The sequence below is a fragment of the Homo sapiens genome, chromosome 1 (assembly GCF_000001405.40).
Source record: "Homo sapiens chromosome 1, GRCh38.p14 Primary Assembly".
In the NCBI taxonomy this organism is placed as follows: Eukaryota; Metazoa; Chordata; class Mammalia; order Primates; family Hominidae; genus Homo; species Homo sapiens.
In genome coordinates this window covers 146,082,486-146,095,961 of record NC_000001.11, presented here as the reverse complement: position 1 = coordinate 146,095,961, position 13,476 = coordinate 146,082,486, and the positions used below count along the sequence as shown (strand labels likewise).

At 43.8% G+C, this 13,476-nt stretch overlaps 1 protein-coding gene across 2 annotated transcripts in view; it reads left to right on the top strand.

Annotated features, from left to right (window-relative positions):
- NBPF10 (NBPF member 10) overlaps nucleotides 1–13,476 on the top strand; it is an 80,106-nt gene that overhangs the window by 48,843 nt on the left and 17,787 nt on the right. For both annotated transcript variants that reach the window (NM_001039703.6, NM_001302371.3), the window contains exons 53-69: nucleotides 308–359; nucleotides 1,010–1,182; nucleotides 1,897–2,005; nucleotides 2,608–2,780; nucleotides 3,500–3,551; nucleotides 4,148–4,320; nucleotides 5,030–5,081; nucleotides 5,728–5,900; nucleotides 6,615–6,723; nucleotides 7,326–7,498; nucleotides 8,218–8,269; nucleotides 8,866–9,038; nucleotides 9,747–9,798; nucleotides 10,449–10,621; nucleotides 11,336–11,444; nucleotides 12,053–12,225; nucleotides 12,945–12,996. In NM_001039703.6, the coding sequence (NP_001034792.4) occupies nucleotides 308–359; nucleotides 1,010–1,182; nucleotides 1,897–2,005; nucleotides 2,608–2,780; nucleotides 3,500–3,551; nucleotides 4,148–4,320; nucleotides 5,030–5,081; nucleotides 5,728–5,900; nucleotides 6,615–6,723; nucleotides 7,326–7,498; nucleotides 8,218–8,269; nucleotides 8,866–9,038; nucleotides 9,747–9,798; nucleotides 10,449–10,621; nucleotides 11,336–11,444; nucleotides 12,053–12,225; nucleotides 12,945–12,996 (2,023 nt within the window). The remainder of the gene's footprint in view (nucleotides 1–307; nucleotides 360–1,009; nucleotides 1,183–1,896; nucleotides 2,006–2,607; nucleotides 2,781–3,499; nucleotides 3,552–4,147; nucleotides 4,321–5,029; nucleotides 5,082–5,727; nucleotides 5,901–6,614; nucleotides 6,724–7,325; nucleotides 7,499–8,217; nucleotides 8,270–8,865; nucleotides 9,039–9,746; nucleotides 9,799–10,448; nucleotides 10,622–11,335; nucleotides 11,445–12,052; nucleotides 12,226–12,944; nucleotides 12,997–13,476) is intronic.

Here is a 13,476-nt window from a genome sequence, read left to right as displayed (position 1 = left end):
TCCTGGAAATCATCTGGGGCATTTTCTTTGAACTGATGGGAACAATAAAGCATAACTGTTTGCACAAACTTGGGATAAATGATTTTGGGATAACGATGTACCAGAATGGGGATATTTCACCCTTGGTTCTGAGATGTAAACCAAAGAATATCATGACCAGCTTTCAGGCCTCCTGAAGTATATCTCTCACATTGTCCTGTTCTCATGCTGAGGAGCCTGAGATCCCTGTGTGGGGATTAGACAGTGGACTGTTATGGGTGTAGGTGAATTGGCTTATTTTGTCTGTCCCTGTCTGAATGTATTGCAGGAATTAAAAAGGACCAAGAAGAGGAAGAAGACCAAGGCCCACCATGCCCCAGGTAACTGAGCAATTGTGAACAGCTACTTCTGTGTTGACATCTGGAGACTCCTGGTTCAGGGAAAACAGTGCGGGCTGACATTATCGATTACATCTTTTCAACCAAGCCTGAATTATTCCTACTAACATTGCTGTTGGTTTTCATTGCAGTAGATATTTAGGTTTCCATTTCTTCCTCCCCTTATCATTTACTAACCTACTGTAGGTGGACCAGACTTCAAAAACTGTATTCTCATGGCGACTGCATGGAAACTTGAGCACATTTTATGGAAAATTATTGAGCACAGTCTTTTCATGATCCCTGTATGCTGTGTGTCCTGAGGGCACTAACTCAGAGTGTCCTGTTACTCCCTCATCAGTGTGTCACCTGGACAATTCACTGAGCTCGTTCTCTCTCTCTCTCTCTCTCTGTGTGTGTGTGTGTGTGTGTGTGTGTGTGTGTGTGTGTGTGTGTCTATCTGTCTTTCTCTTTCATTCTTTTCCATTTGGCCCTGTTCTGTCCCAACATGAAGGCAATAATTTGTTACCTCATTAATGGATCTATCCTTTTAGTTTTTTAACCACTTCCCTATGCTACCCATGAAACCTAGTTGGGGCTCTGTTGTGTCTGATTTCCCCTGGCTTATTCTTTACTTTTTCCTCCTTTTCCAGGCTCAGCAGGGAGCTGCTGGAGGTAGTAGAGCCTGAAGTCTTGCAGGACTCACTGGATAGATGTTATTCAACTCCTTCCAGTTGTCTTGAACAGCCTGACTCCTGCCAGCCCTATGGAAGTTCCTTTTATGCATTGGAGGAAAAACATGTTGGCTTTTCTCTTGACGTGGGAGGTGAGTACCTTTCTATGAAGGTGATAAGGATCCACTGAGTCTTCCATATAAAGATCATATTCCTGCTCCAAGTGGCCATTACTGAGCTGAGAGATGTCATTGCCACAGGGAGGACCTATAGGCACATGTAGGTTGAATGAAACTCTAGTTCTACCTGGAAGCCCAGACAAGGGATGGGTCAGTGAGCAAGACTCTCTTCCTAGTCTCAGGCCATACCTGTGGCGCCCTGATCCTATTCTCATGACATTGGACCTGGGCAGATGTGACAAATTCAGAGAACTATGATTTTGACTCAAGGGTTTGTAGATTTCCTTTTTCACTCTAATTTCAGTGTCTAAAGTCCTCACAACCATGAACAATCTGAGTATTTGATGAGACAGGGCTAAATATTGCAGTTTTTCTCCTAGAAATCATTTGAGGGTATTTGCTTTAAGTTGATTGGAAAAATATGGCGTAACTGTTTGCACAAACTTGGGACAAATGATATTGGGATAACGATCTACTAGAATAGGGACATTTTACCCACAGTTTCTGGGAGAAAAACCGAGGAATTTCTATCATGACCAGCCTTCAGGCCTCCTGAAATATATCTCTCACAGTGTCCTATTCTTATGCTGAGGAGCCTGAGGTCCCTGTGTGAGGATTAGACAGTGGATTGTTATGTGTGTAGGGGAATCAGCTTAATGTGTCTGTCCATGTCTGAATTTATTGCAGAAATTGAAAAGAAGGGGAAGGGGAAGAAAAGAAGGGGAAGAAGATCAAAGAAGGAAAGAAGAAGGGGAAGAAAAGAAGGGGAAGAAGATCAAAACCCACCATGCCCCAGGTGACTTTCAGCAATTGTGGATGCTTAATTCTGTGTTAACACCTGGAGGCAACAGATTCAGGGAAACCAGAGTGTGTTTGATGACATGTTTTCAGCGAAGGCTGAATTACTCCTACTGTCATTGCTGTTGGTTTTCATTGCAGTAGATGTTTAGGTTTCCATTTCTTCCTCCCCTTATCATTTCCTAACGTACCATAGGTTGACCATACTTCAAAAGCTGTACTCTCATGGCCACTGCATCGAATTTTGAGCATATTTTATGTAAAACTATTGAGCTCACTCTTTTCATGATCACAGTTTGCTGTGTGTCATGAGGGCACTAACTCAGAGTGTCCTTTGACTCCCTTACCAGTATGTCACCTGGCCAATTCACTAGGTCACTTTCTCTCTGTCTCTGTCTCTGTCTCTGTCTGTCTTTCTCTTTCATTGTTTTCTACCTGGCCCTGTTCTGTCCCAACATAAAGGCAATAATTTGTTACCTCATTAATGGATCTGTCCTTTTTCTTTTCAAACTCTTCCTTACGTTAGCCATGAAATCTAGCTGGGGCTGTGTGGTTTCTGATTCCCCCTGGCTTATTCTTTACTTTTTCCCACTTTTCCAGGCTCAGCAGGGAGCTGCTGGATGAGAAAGGGCCTGAAGTCTTGCAGGACTCACTGGATAGATGTTATTCAACTCCTTCAGGTTGTCTTGAACTGACTGACTCATGCCAGCCCTACAGAAGTGCCTTTTATGTATTGGAGCAACAGCATGTTGGCTTGGCTGTTGACATGGATGGTGAGTACCTTTCTATGAAGGTGATAAGGATCCACTGAGTCTTCTGGTTAGGGTCATATTCCTACTGCAAGTGGCCCTTACTGAGCTGAGAGATGTCATTGCCACAGGGAGGAACTATAGGCACATGTAGGTTGAGTGAAACTCTAGTTCCACTTGGAAGCCCAGACAAGGGATGGGTCAGTGAGCAAGGCTCTCTTCCTAGTCTCAGGCCATGCCCGTGGCGCCCTAATCCTACTCTCAAGATGTTGGATCTGGGCAGATGTGACAAATTCACACAACTCTGATTTTGTCTCAATTTTGTAGATCTTGTAGATTTCATCCTTCACTCTAATTTCAGCGTCTAAAATCCTCACTACCATGAACAATCTGAGTATTTGATGTGACAGGGCTGAATAGTGCAGTTTTTCTCCTAGCAGCCATTTGGGGGCATTTGCTTTAAATCGATTGGAAAAATATGGCATAACCATTTGCACAAACTTGGGACAAATGATATTGGGATAACGATCTACCAGAATAGGGAATTTTACCCACAGTTTCTGGGACAAAAACCAAGGAATCTCTATGGTGATCAGCCTTCAGGCCTCCTGAAGACTATCTCTCACAGTGTCCTATTCTCATGCTGAGGAGCCTGAAGTCCCTGTGTGAGGATTAGACAGTGGATTGTTATGTGTGTAGGAGAACCAGCTTAATATGTCTGTCCATGTCTGAACTTATTGCAGAAATTGAAAAGTACCAAGAAGTGGAAGAAGACCAAGACCCATCATGCCCCAGGTAACTTTGAGCAATTATGGATGCTTAATTCTGTGTTGACACCTGGAGATGCCAGGTCCAGGGAAAACAAGAGTGTGTTCAATTTCATATTTTCAACGAAGGTTGAATTACTCCTACTGACATTGCTGTTGGTTTTCATTGCAGTAGATGTTTAGGTTTCCATTTCTTCCTCCCCTTATCATTTACTCACTTACTATAGGTTGACCATACCTCAAAGGCTGTATGGCAACTGCATGGAATCTTGAGCAAGGTTATGGAAAATTATTGAGCCCACTCTTTTCATGATCACTGTTCGCTGTGTGTCCCGAGGGCACTAACTCAGAGTGTCCTTTGACCCCTTCATCAGTGTGTCACCCGGCCAATTCGCTGAGCTCACTTTCTCCTCTCTCTCTCTCTCCCTCTCCCTGTCTTTCTCTTTCATTCTTTTCTACCTGGCCCTGGTCTATCCCAACATAAAGGCAATAATTCATTACCTCATTAATGGATCTGTCCTTTTTCTTTTTAAACAGTTCCTTATGTTAGCCATGAAATCTAGCTGGGGCTGTGTGGTTTCTGATTCCCCCTGACTTATTCTTTACTTTTTCCTACTTTTCCAGGCTCAGCAGGGAGCTGCTGGATGAGAAAGAGCCTGAAGTCTTGCAGGACTCACTGGATAGATGTTATTCGACTCCTTCAGGTTATCTTGAACTGCCTGACTTAGGCCAGCCCTACAGCAGTGCTGTTTACTCATTGGAGGAACAGTACCTTGGCTTGGCTCTTGACGTGGACAGTGAGTACCTTACTGTGAAGGTGATAAGCCTCCACCTGGTCTTCCAGATAGGGGTGATATTCCTGTTCCAAGTGCCCCTTACTGACCCGAGAGACGTCATTGCCGCAGGCAGGACCTATGGGCGCATATAGGTTGTAATGAAACTGTAGTCTCAGTTGGAAGCCTAGACATGAAATGGGTCAGTGAGCAAGGCTCTATTCCTAGTCTCCAGCCATGCCTGTGGCAACCTGAGCCCGCTCTCAGCACATTGGACCCAGGCAGATGTAAAAAATTCACAGAAGTATGATTTGGACTCAAGGGTTTGTAGATTTCCTCCTTCATTCTAATTTCAGTGTCTAAAATTCTTGCATCCATGAACGAGCTGGGCATTTGATGAGACAGGGCTGAATACTTTAGTTTTCCTCCTGGAAATCATCTGGGGCATTTTCTTTGAACTGATGGGAACAATAAAGCATAACTGTTTGCACAAACTTGGGATAAATGATTTTGGGATAACGATGTACCAGAATGGGGATATTTCACCCTTGGTTCTGAGATGTAAACCAAAGAATATCATGAGCAGCTTTCAGGCCTCCTGAAGTATATCTCTCACATTGTCCTGTTCTCATGCTGAGGAGCCTGAGATCCCTGTGTGGGGATTAGACAGTGGACTGTTATGGGTGTAGGTGAATTGGCTTATTTTGTCTGTCCCTGTCTGAATGTATTGCAGGAATTAAAAAGGACCAAGAAGAGGAAGAAGACCAAGACCCACCATGCCCCAGGTAACTGAGCAATTGTGAACAGCTACTTCTGTGTTGACATCTGGAGACTCCTGGTTCAGGGAAAACAGTGCGGGCTGACATTATCGATTACATCTTTTCAACCAAGCCTGAATTATTCCTACTAACATTGCTGTTGGTTTTCATTGCAGTAGATATTTAGGTTTCCATTTCTTCCTCCCCTTATCATTTACTAACCTACTGTAGGTGGACCAGACTTCAAAAACTGTATTCTCATGGCGACTGCATGGAAACTTGAGCACATTTTATGGAAAATTATTGAGCACAGTCTTTTCATGATCCCTGTATGCTGTGTGTCCTGAGGGCACTAACTCAGAGTGTCCTGTTACTCCCTCATCAGTGCGTCACCTGGACAATTCACTGAGCTCGTTCTCTCTCTCTCTCTCTGTGTGTGTGTGTGTGTGTGTGTGTGTGTGTGTGTGTGTGTGTGTCTATCTGTCTTTCTCTTTCATTCTTTTCCATTTGGCCCTGTTCTGTCCCAACATGAAGGCAATAATTTGTTACCTCATTAATGGATCTATCCTTTTAGTTTTTTAACCACTTCCCTATGCTACCCATGAAACCTAGTTGGGGCTCTGTTGTGTCTGATTTCCCCTGGCTTATTCTTTACTTTTTCCTCCTTTTCCAGGCTCAGCAGGGAGCTGCTGGAGGTAGTAGAGCCTGAAGTCTTGCAGGACTCACTGGATAGATGTTATTCAACTCCTTCCAGTTGTCTTGAACAGCCTGACTCCTGCCAGCCCTATGGAAGTTCCTTTTATGCATTGGAGGAAAAACATGTTGGCTTTTCTCTTGACGTGGGAGGTGAGTACCTTTCTATGAAGGTGATAAGGATCCACTGAGTCTTCCATATAAAGATCATATTCCTGCTCCAAGTGGCCATTACTGAGCTGAGAGATGTCATTGCCACAGGGAGGACCTATAGGCACATGTAGGTTGAATGAAACTCTAGTTCTACCTGGAAGCCCAGACAAGGGATGGGTCAGTGAGCAAGACTCTCTTCCTAGTCTCAGGCCATACCTGTGGCGCCCTGATCCTATTCTCATGACATTGGACCTGGGCAGATGTGACAAATTCAGAGAACTATGATTTTGACTCAAGGGTTTGTAGATTTCCTTTTTCACTCTAATTTCAGTGTCTAAAGTCCTCACAACCATGAACAATCTGAGTATTTGATGAGACAGGGCTAAATATTGCAGTTTTTCTCCTAGAAATCATTTGAGGGTATTTGCTTTAAGTTGATTGGAAAAATATGGCGTAACTGTTTGCACAAACTTGGGACAAATGATATTGGGATAACGATCTACTAGAATAGGGACATTTTACCCACAGTTTCTGGGAGAAAAACCGAGGAATTTCTATCATGACCAGCCTTCAGGCCTCCTGAAATATATCTCTCACAGTGTCCTATTCTTATGCTGAGGAGCCTGAGGTCCCTGTGTGAGGATTAGACAGTGGATTGTTATGTGTGTAGGGGAATCAGCTTAATGTGTCTGTCCATGTCTGAATTTATTGCAGAAATTGAAAAGAAGGGGAAGGGGAAGAAAAGAAGGGGAAGAAGATCAAAGAAGGAAAGAAGAAGGGGAAGAAAAGAAGGGGAAGAAGATCAAAACCCACCATGCCCCAGGTGACTTTCAGCAATTGTGGATGCTTAATTCTGTGTTAACACCTGGAGGCAACAGATTCAGGGAAACCAGAGTGTGTTTGATGACATGTTTTCAGCGAAGGCTGAATTACTCCTACTGTCATTGCTGTTGGTTTTCATTGCAGTAGATGTTTAGGTTTCCATTTCTTCCTCCCCTTATCATTTCCTAACGTACCATAGGTTGACCATACTTCAAAAGCTGTACTCTCATGGCCACTGCATCGAATTTTGAGCATATTTTATGGAAAACTATTGAGCTCACTCTTTTCATGATCACAGTTTGCTGTGTGTCATGAGGGCACTAACTCAGAGTGTCCTTTGACTCCCTTACCAGTATGTCACCTGGCCAATTCACTAGGTCACTTTCTCTCTGTCTCTGTCTCTGTCTCTGTCTGTCTTTCTCTTTCATTGTTTTCTACCTGGCCCTGTTCTGTCCCAACATAAAGGCAATAATTTGTTACCTCATTAATGGATCTGTCCTTTTTCTTTTCAAACTCTTCCTTACGTTAGCCATGAAATCTAGCTGGGGCTGTGTGGTTTCTGATTCCCCCTGGCTTATTCTTTACTTTTTCCCACTTTTCCAGGCTCAGCAGGGAGCTGCTGGATGAGAAAGGGCCTGAAGTCTTGCAGGACTCACTGGATAGATGTTATTCAACTCCTTCAGGTTGTCTTGAACTGACTGACTCATGCCAGCCCTACAGAAGTGCCTTTTATGTATTGGAGCAACAGCATGTTGGCTTGGCTGTTGACATGGATGGTGAGTACCTTTCTATGAAGGTGATAAGGATCCACTGAGTCTTCTGGTTAGGGTCATATTCCTACTGCAAGTGGCCCTTACTGAGCTGAGAGATGTCATTGCCACAGGGAGGAACTATAGGCACATGTAGGTTGAGTGAAACTCTAGTTCCACTTGGAAGCCCAGACAAGGGATGGGTCAGTGAGCAAGGCTCTCTTCCTAGTCTCAGGCCATGCCCGTGGCGCCCTAATCCTACTCTCAAGATGTTGGATCTGGGCAGATGTGACAAATTCACACAACTCTGATTTTGTCTCAATTTTGTAGATCTTGTCGATTTCATCCTTCACTCTAATTTCAGCGTCTCAAATCCTCACTACCATGAACAATCTGAGTATTTGATGAGACAGGGCTGAATAGTGCAGTTTTTCTCCTAGCAGCCATTTGGGGGCATTTGCTTTAAATCGATTGGAAAAATATGGCATAACCATTTCCACAAACTTGGGACAAATGATATTGGGATAACGATCTACCAGAATAGGGAATTTTACCCACAGTTTCTGGGACAAAAACCAAGGAATCTCTATGGTGATCAGCCTTCAGGCCTCCTGAAGACTATCTCTCACAGTGTCCTATTCTCATGCTGAGGAGCCTGAAGTCCCTGTGTGAGGATTAGACAGTGGATTGTTATGTGTGTAGGAGAACCAGCTTAATATGTCTGTCCATGTCTGAACTTATTGCAGAAATTGAAAAGTACCAAGAAGTGGAAGAAGACCAAGACCCATCATGCCCCAGGTAACTTTGAGCAATTATGGATGCTTAATTCTGTGTTGACACCTGGAGATGCCAGGTCCAGGGAAAACAAGAGTGTGTTCAATTTCATGTTTTCAACGAAGGTTGAATTACTCCTACTGACATTGCTGTTGGTTTTCATTGCAGTAGATGTTTAGGTTTCCATTTCTTCCTCCCCTTATCATTTACTCACTTACTATAGGTTGACCATACCTCAAAGGCTGTATGGCAACTGCATGGAATCTTGAGCAAGTTTATGGAAAATTATTGAGCCCACTCTTTTCATGATCACTGTTCGCTGTGTGTCCCGAGGGCACTAACTCAGAGTGTCCTTTGACCCCTTCATCAGTGTGTCACCCGGCCAATTCGCTGAGCTCACTTTCTCCTCTCTCTCTCTCTCCTTCTCCCTGTCTTTCTCTTTCATTCTTTTCTACCTGGCCCTGGTCTATCCCAACATAAAGGCAATAATTCATTACCTCATTAATGGATCTGTCCTTTTTCTTTTTAAACAGTTCCTTATGTTAGCCATGAAATCTAGCTGGGGCTGTGTGGTTTCTGATTCCCCCTGACTTATTCTTTACTTTTTCCTACTTTTCCAGGCTCAGCAGGGAGCTGCTGGATGAGAAAGAGCCTGAAGTCTTGCAGGACTCACTGGATAGATGTTATTCGACTCCTTCAGGTTATCTTGAACTGCCTGACTTAGGCCAGCCCTACAGCAGTGCTGTTTACTCATTGGAGGAACAGTACCTTGGCTTGGCTCTTGACGTGGACAGTGAGTACCTTACTGTGAAGGTGATAAGCCTCCACCTGGTCTTCCAGATAGGGGTGATATTCCTGTTCCAAGTGCCCCTTACTGACCCGAGAGACGTCATTGCCGCAGGCAGGACCTATGGGCGCATATAGGTTGTAATGAAACTGTAGTCTCAGTTGGAAGCCTAGACATGAAATGGGTCAGTGAGCAAGGCTCTATTCCTAGTCTCCAGCCATGCCTGTGGCAACCTGAGCCCGCTCTCAGCACATTGGACCCAGGCAGATGTAAAAAATTCACAGAAGTATGATTTGGACTGAAGGTTTGTAGATTTCCTCCTTCATTCTAATTTCAGTGTCTAAAATTCTTGCATCCATGAACGAGCTGGGCATTTGATGAGACAGGGCTGAATACTTTAGTTTTCCTCCTGGAAATCATCTGGGGCATTTTCTTTGAACTGATGTGAACAATAAAGCATAACTGTTTGCACAAACTTGGGATAAATGATTTTGGGATAACGATGTACCAGAATGGGGATATTTCACCCTTGGTTCTGAGATGTAAACCAAAGAATATCATGACCAGCTTTCAGGCCTCCTGAAGTATATCTCTCACATTGTCCTGTTCTCATGCTGAGGAGCCTGAGATCCCTGTGTGGGGATTAGACAGTGGACTGTTATGGGTGTAGGTGAATTGGCTTATTTTGTCTGTCCCTGTCTGAATGTATTGCAGGAATTAAAAAGGACCAAGAAGAGGAAGAAGACCAAGGCCCACCATGCCCCAGGTAACTGAGCAATTGTGAACAGCTACTTCTGTGTTGACATCTGGAGACTCCTGGTTCAGGGAAAACAGTGCGGGCTGACATTATCGATTACATCTTTTCAACCAAGCCTGAATTATTCCTACTAACATTGCTGTTGGTTTTCATTGCAGTAGATATTTAGGTTTCCATTTCTTCCTCCCCTTATCATTTACTATCCTACTGTAGGTGGACCAGACTTCAAAAACTATTCTCATGGCGACTGCATGGAAACTTGAGCACGTTTTATGGAAAATTATTGAGCACAGTCTTTTCATGATCCCTGTATGCTGTGTGTCCTGAGGGCACTAACTCAGAGTGTCCTGTTACTCCCTCATCAGTGTGTCACCTGGACAATTCACTGAGCTCGTTCTCTCTCTCTCTCTCTGTGTGTGTGTGTGTGTGTGTGTGTGTGTGTGTGTGTGTGTGTGTGTGTGTCTATCTGTCTTTCTCTTTCATTCTTTTCCATTTGGCCCTGTTCTGTCCCAACATGAAGGCAATAATTTGTTACCTCATTAATGGATCTATCCTTTTAGTTTTTTAACCACTTCCCTATGCTACCCATGAAACCTAGTTGGGGCTCTGTTGTGTCTGATTTCCCCTGGCTTATTCTTTACTTTTTCCTCCTTTTCCAGGCTCAGCAGGGAGCTGCTGGAGGTAGTAGAGCCTGAAGTCTTGCAGGACTCACTGGATAGATGTTATTCAACTCCTTCCAGTTGTCTTGAACAGCCTGACTCCTGCCAGCCCTATGGAAGTTCCTTTTATGCATTGGAGGAAAAACATGTTGGCTTTTCTCTTGACGTGGGAGGTGAGTACCTTTCTATGAAGGTGATAAGGATCCACTGAGTCTTCCATATAAAGATCATATTCCTGCTCCAAGTGGCCATTACTGAGCTGAGAGATGTCATTGCCACAGGGAGGACCTATAGGCACATGTAGGTTGAATGAAACTCTAGTTCTACCTGGAAGCCCAGACAAGGGATGGGTCAGTGAGCAAGACTCTCTTCCTAGTCTCAGGCCATACCTGTGGCGCCCTGATCCTATTCTCATGACATTGGACCTGGGCAGATGTGACAAATTCAGAGAACTATGATTTTGACTCAAGGGTTTGTAGATTTCCTTTTTCACTCTAATTTCAGTGTCTAAAGTCCTCACAACCATGAACAATCTGAGTATTTGATGAGACAGGGCTAAATATTGCAGTTTTTCTCCTAGAAATCATTTGAGGGTATTTGCTTTAAGTTGATTGGAAAAATATGGCGTAACTGTTTGCACAAACTTGGGACAAATGATATTGGGATAACGATCTACTAGAATAGGGACATTTTACCCACAGTTTCTGGGAGAAAAACCGAGGAATTTCTATCATGACCAGCCTTCAGGCCTCCTGAAATATATCTCTCACAGTGTCCTATTCTTATGCTGAGGAGCCTGAGGTCCCTGTGTGAGGATTAGACAGTGGATTGTTATGTGTGTAGGGGAATCAGCTTAATGTGTCTGTCCATGTCTGAATTTATTGCAGAAATTGAAAAGAAGGGGAAGGGGAAGAAAAGAAGGGGAAGAAGATCAAAGAAGGAAAGAAGAAGGGGAAGAAAAGAAGGGGAAGAAGATCAAAACCCACCATGCCCCAGGTGACTTTCAGCAATTGTGGATGCTTAATTCTGTGTTAACACCTGGAGGCAACAGATTCAGGGAAACCAGAGTGTGTTTGATGACATGTTTTCAGCGAAGGCTGAATTACTCCTACTGTCATTGCTGTTGGTTTTCATTGCAGTAGATGTTTAGGTTTCCATTTCTTCCTCCCCTTATCATTTCCTAACGTACCATAGGTTGACCATACTTCAAAAGCTGTACTCTCATGGCCACTGCATCGAATTTTGAGCGTATTTTATGGAAAACTATTGAGCTCACTCTTTTCATGATCACAGTTTGCTGTGTGTCATGAGGGCACTAACTCAGAGTGTCCTTTGACTCCCTTACCAGTATGTCACCTGGCCAATTCACTAGGTCACTTTCTCTCTGTCTCTGTCTCTGTCTCTGTCTCTGTCTGTCTTTCTCTTTCATTGTTTTCTACCTGGCCCTGTTCTGTCCCAACATAAAGGCAATAATTTGTTACCTCATTAATGGATCTGTCCTTTTTCTTTTCAAACTCTTCCTTACGTTAGCCATGAAATCTAGCTGGGGCTGTGTGGTTTCTGATTCCCCCTGGCTTATTCTTTACTTTTTCCCACTTTTCCAGGCTCAGCAGGGAGCTGCTGGATGAGAAAGGGCCTGAAGTCTTGCAGGACTCACTGGATAGATGTTATTCAACTCCTTCAGGTTGTCTTGAACTGACTGACTCATGCCAGCCCTACAGAAGTGCCTTTTATGTATTGGAGCAACAGCATGTTGGCTTGGCTGTTGACATGGATGGTGAGTACCTTTCTATGAAGGTGATAAGGATCCACTGAGTCTTCTGGTTAGGGTCATATTCCTACTGCAAGTGGCCCTTACTGAGCTGAGAGATGTCATTGCCACAGGGAGGAACTATAGGCACATGTAGGTTGAGTGAAACTCTAGTTCCACTTGGAAGCCCAGACAAGGGATGGGTCAGTGAGCAAGGCTCTCTTCCTAGTCTCAGGCCATGCCCGTGGCGCCCTAATCCTACTCTCAAGATGTTGGATCTGGGCAGATGTGACAAATTCACACAACTCTGATTTTGTCTCAATTTTGTAGATCTTGTCGATTTCATCCTTCACTCTAATTTCAGCGTCTAAAATCCTCACTACCATGAACAATCTGAGTATTTGATGAGACAGGGCTGAATAGTGCAGTTTTTCTCCTAGCAGCCATTTGGGGGCATTTGCTTTAAATCGATTGGAAAAATATGGCATAACCATTTGCACAAACTTGGGACAAATGATATTGGGAAAACGATCTACCAGAATAGGGAATTTTACCCACAGTTTCTGGGACAAAAACCAAGGAATCTCTATGGTGATCAGCCTTCAGGCCTCCTGAAGACTATCTCTCACAGTGTCCTATTCTCATGCTGAGGAGCCTGAAGTCCCTGTGTGAGGATTAGACAGTGGATTGTTATGTGTGTAGGAGAACCAGCTTAATATGTCTGTCCATGTCTGAACTTATTGCAGAAATTGAAAAGTACCAAGAAGTGGAAGAAGACCAAGACCCATCATGCCCCAGGTAACTTTGAGCAATTATGGATGCTTAATTCTGTGTTGACACCTGGAGATGCCAGGTCCAGGGAAAACAAGAGTGTGTTCAATTTCATGTTTTCAACGAAGGTTGAATTACTCCTACTGACATTGCTGTTGGTTTTCATTGCAGTAGATGTTTAGGTTTCCATTTCTTCCTCCCCTTATCATTTACTCACTTACTATAGGTTGACCATACCTCAAAGGCTGTATGGCAACTGCATGGAATCTTGAGCAAGTTTATGGAAAATTATTGAGCCCACTCTTTTCATGATCACTGTTCGCTGTGTGTCCCGAGGGCACTAACTCAGAGTGTCCTTTGACCCCTTCATCAGTGTGTCACCCGGCCAATTCGCTGAGCTCACTTTCTCCTCTCTCTCTCTCTCCCTCTCCCTGTCTTTCTCTTTCATTCTTTTCTACCTGGCCCTGGTCTATCCCAACATAAAGGCAATAATTCATTACCTCATTA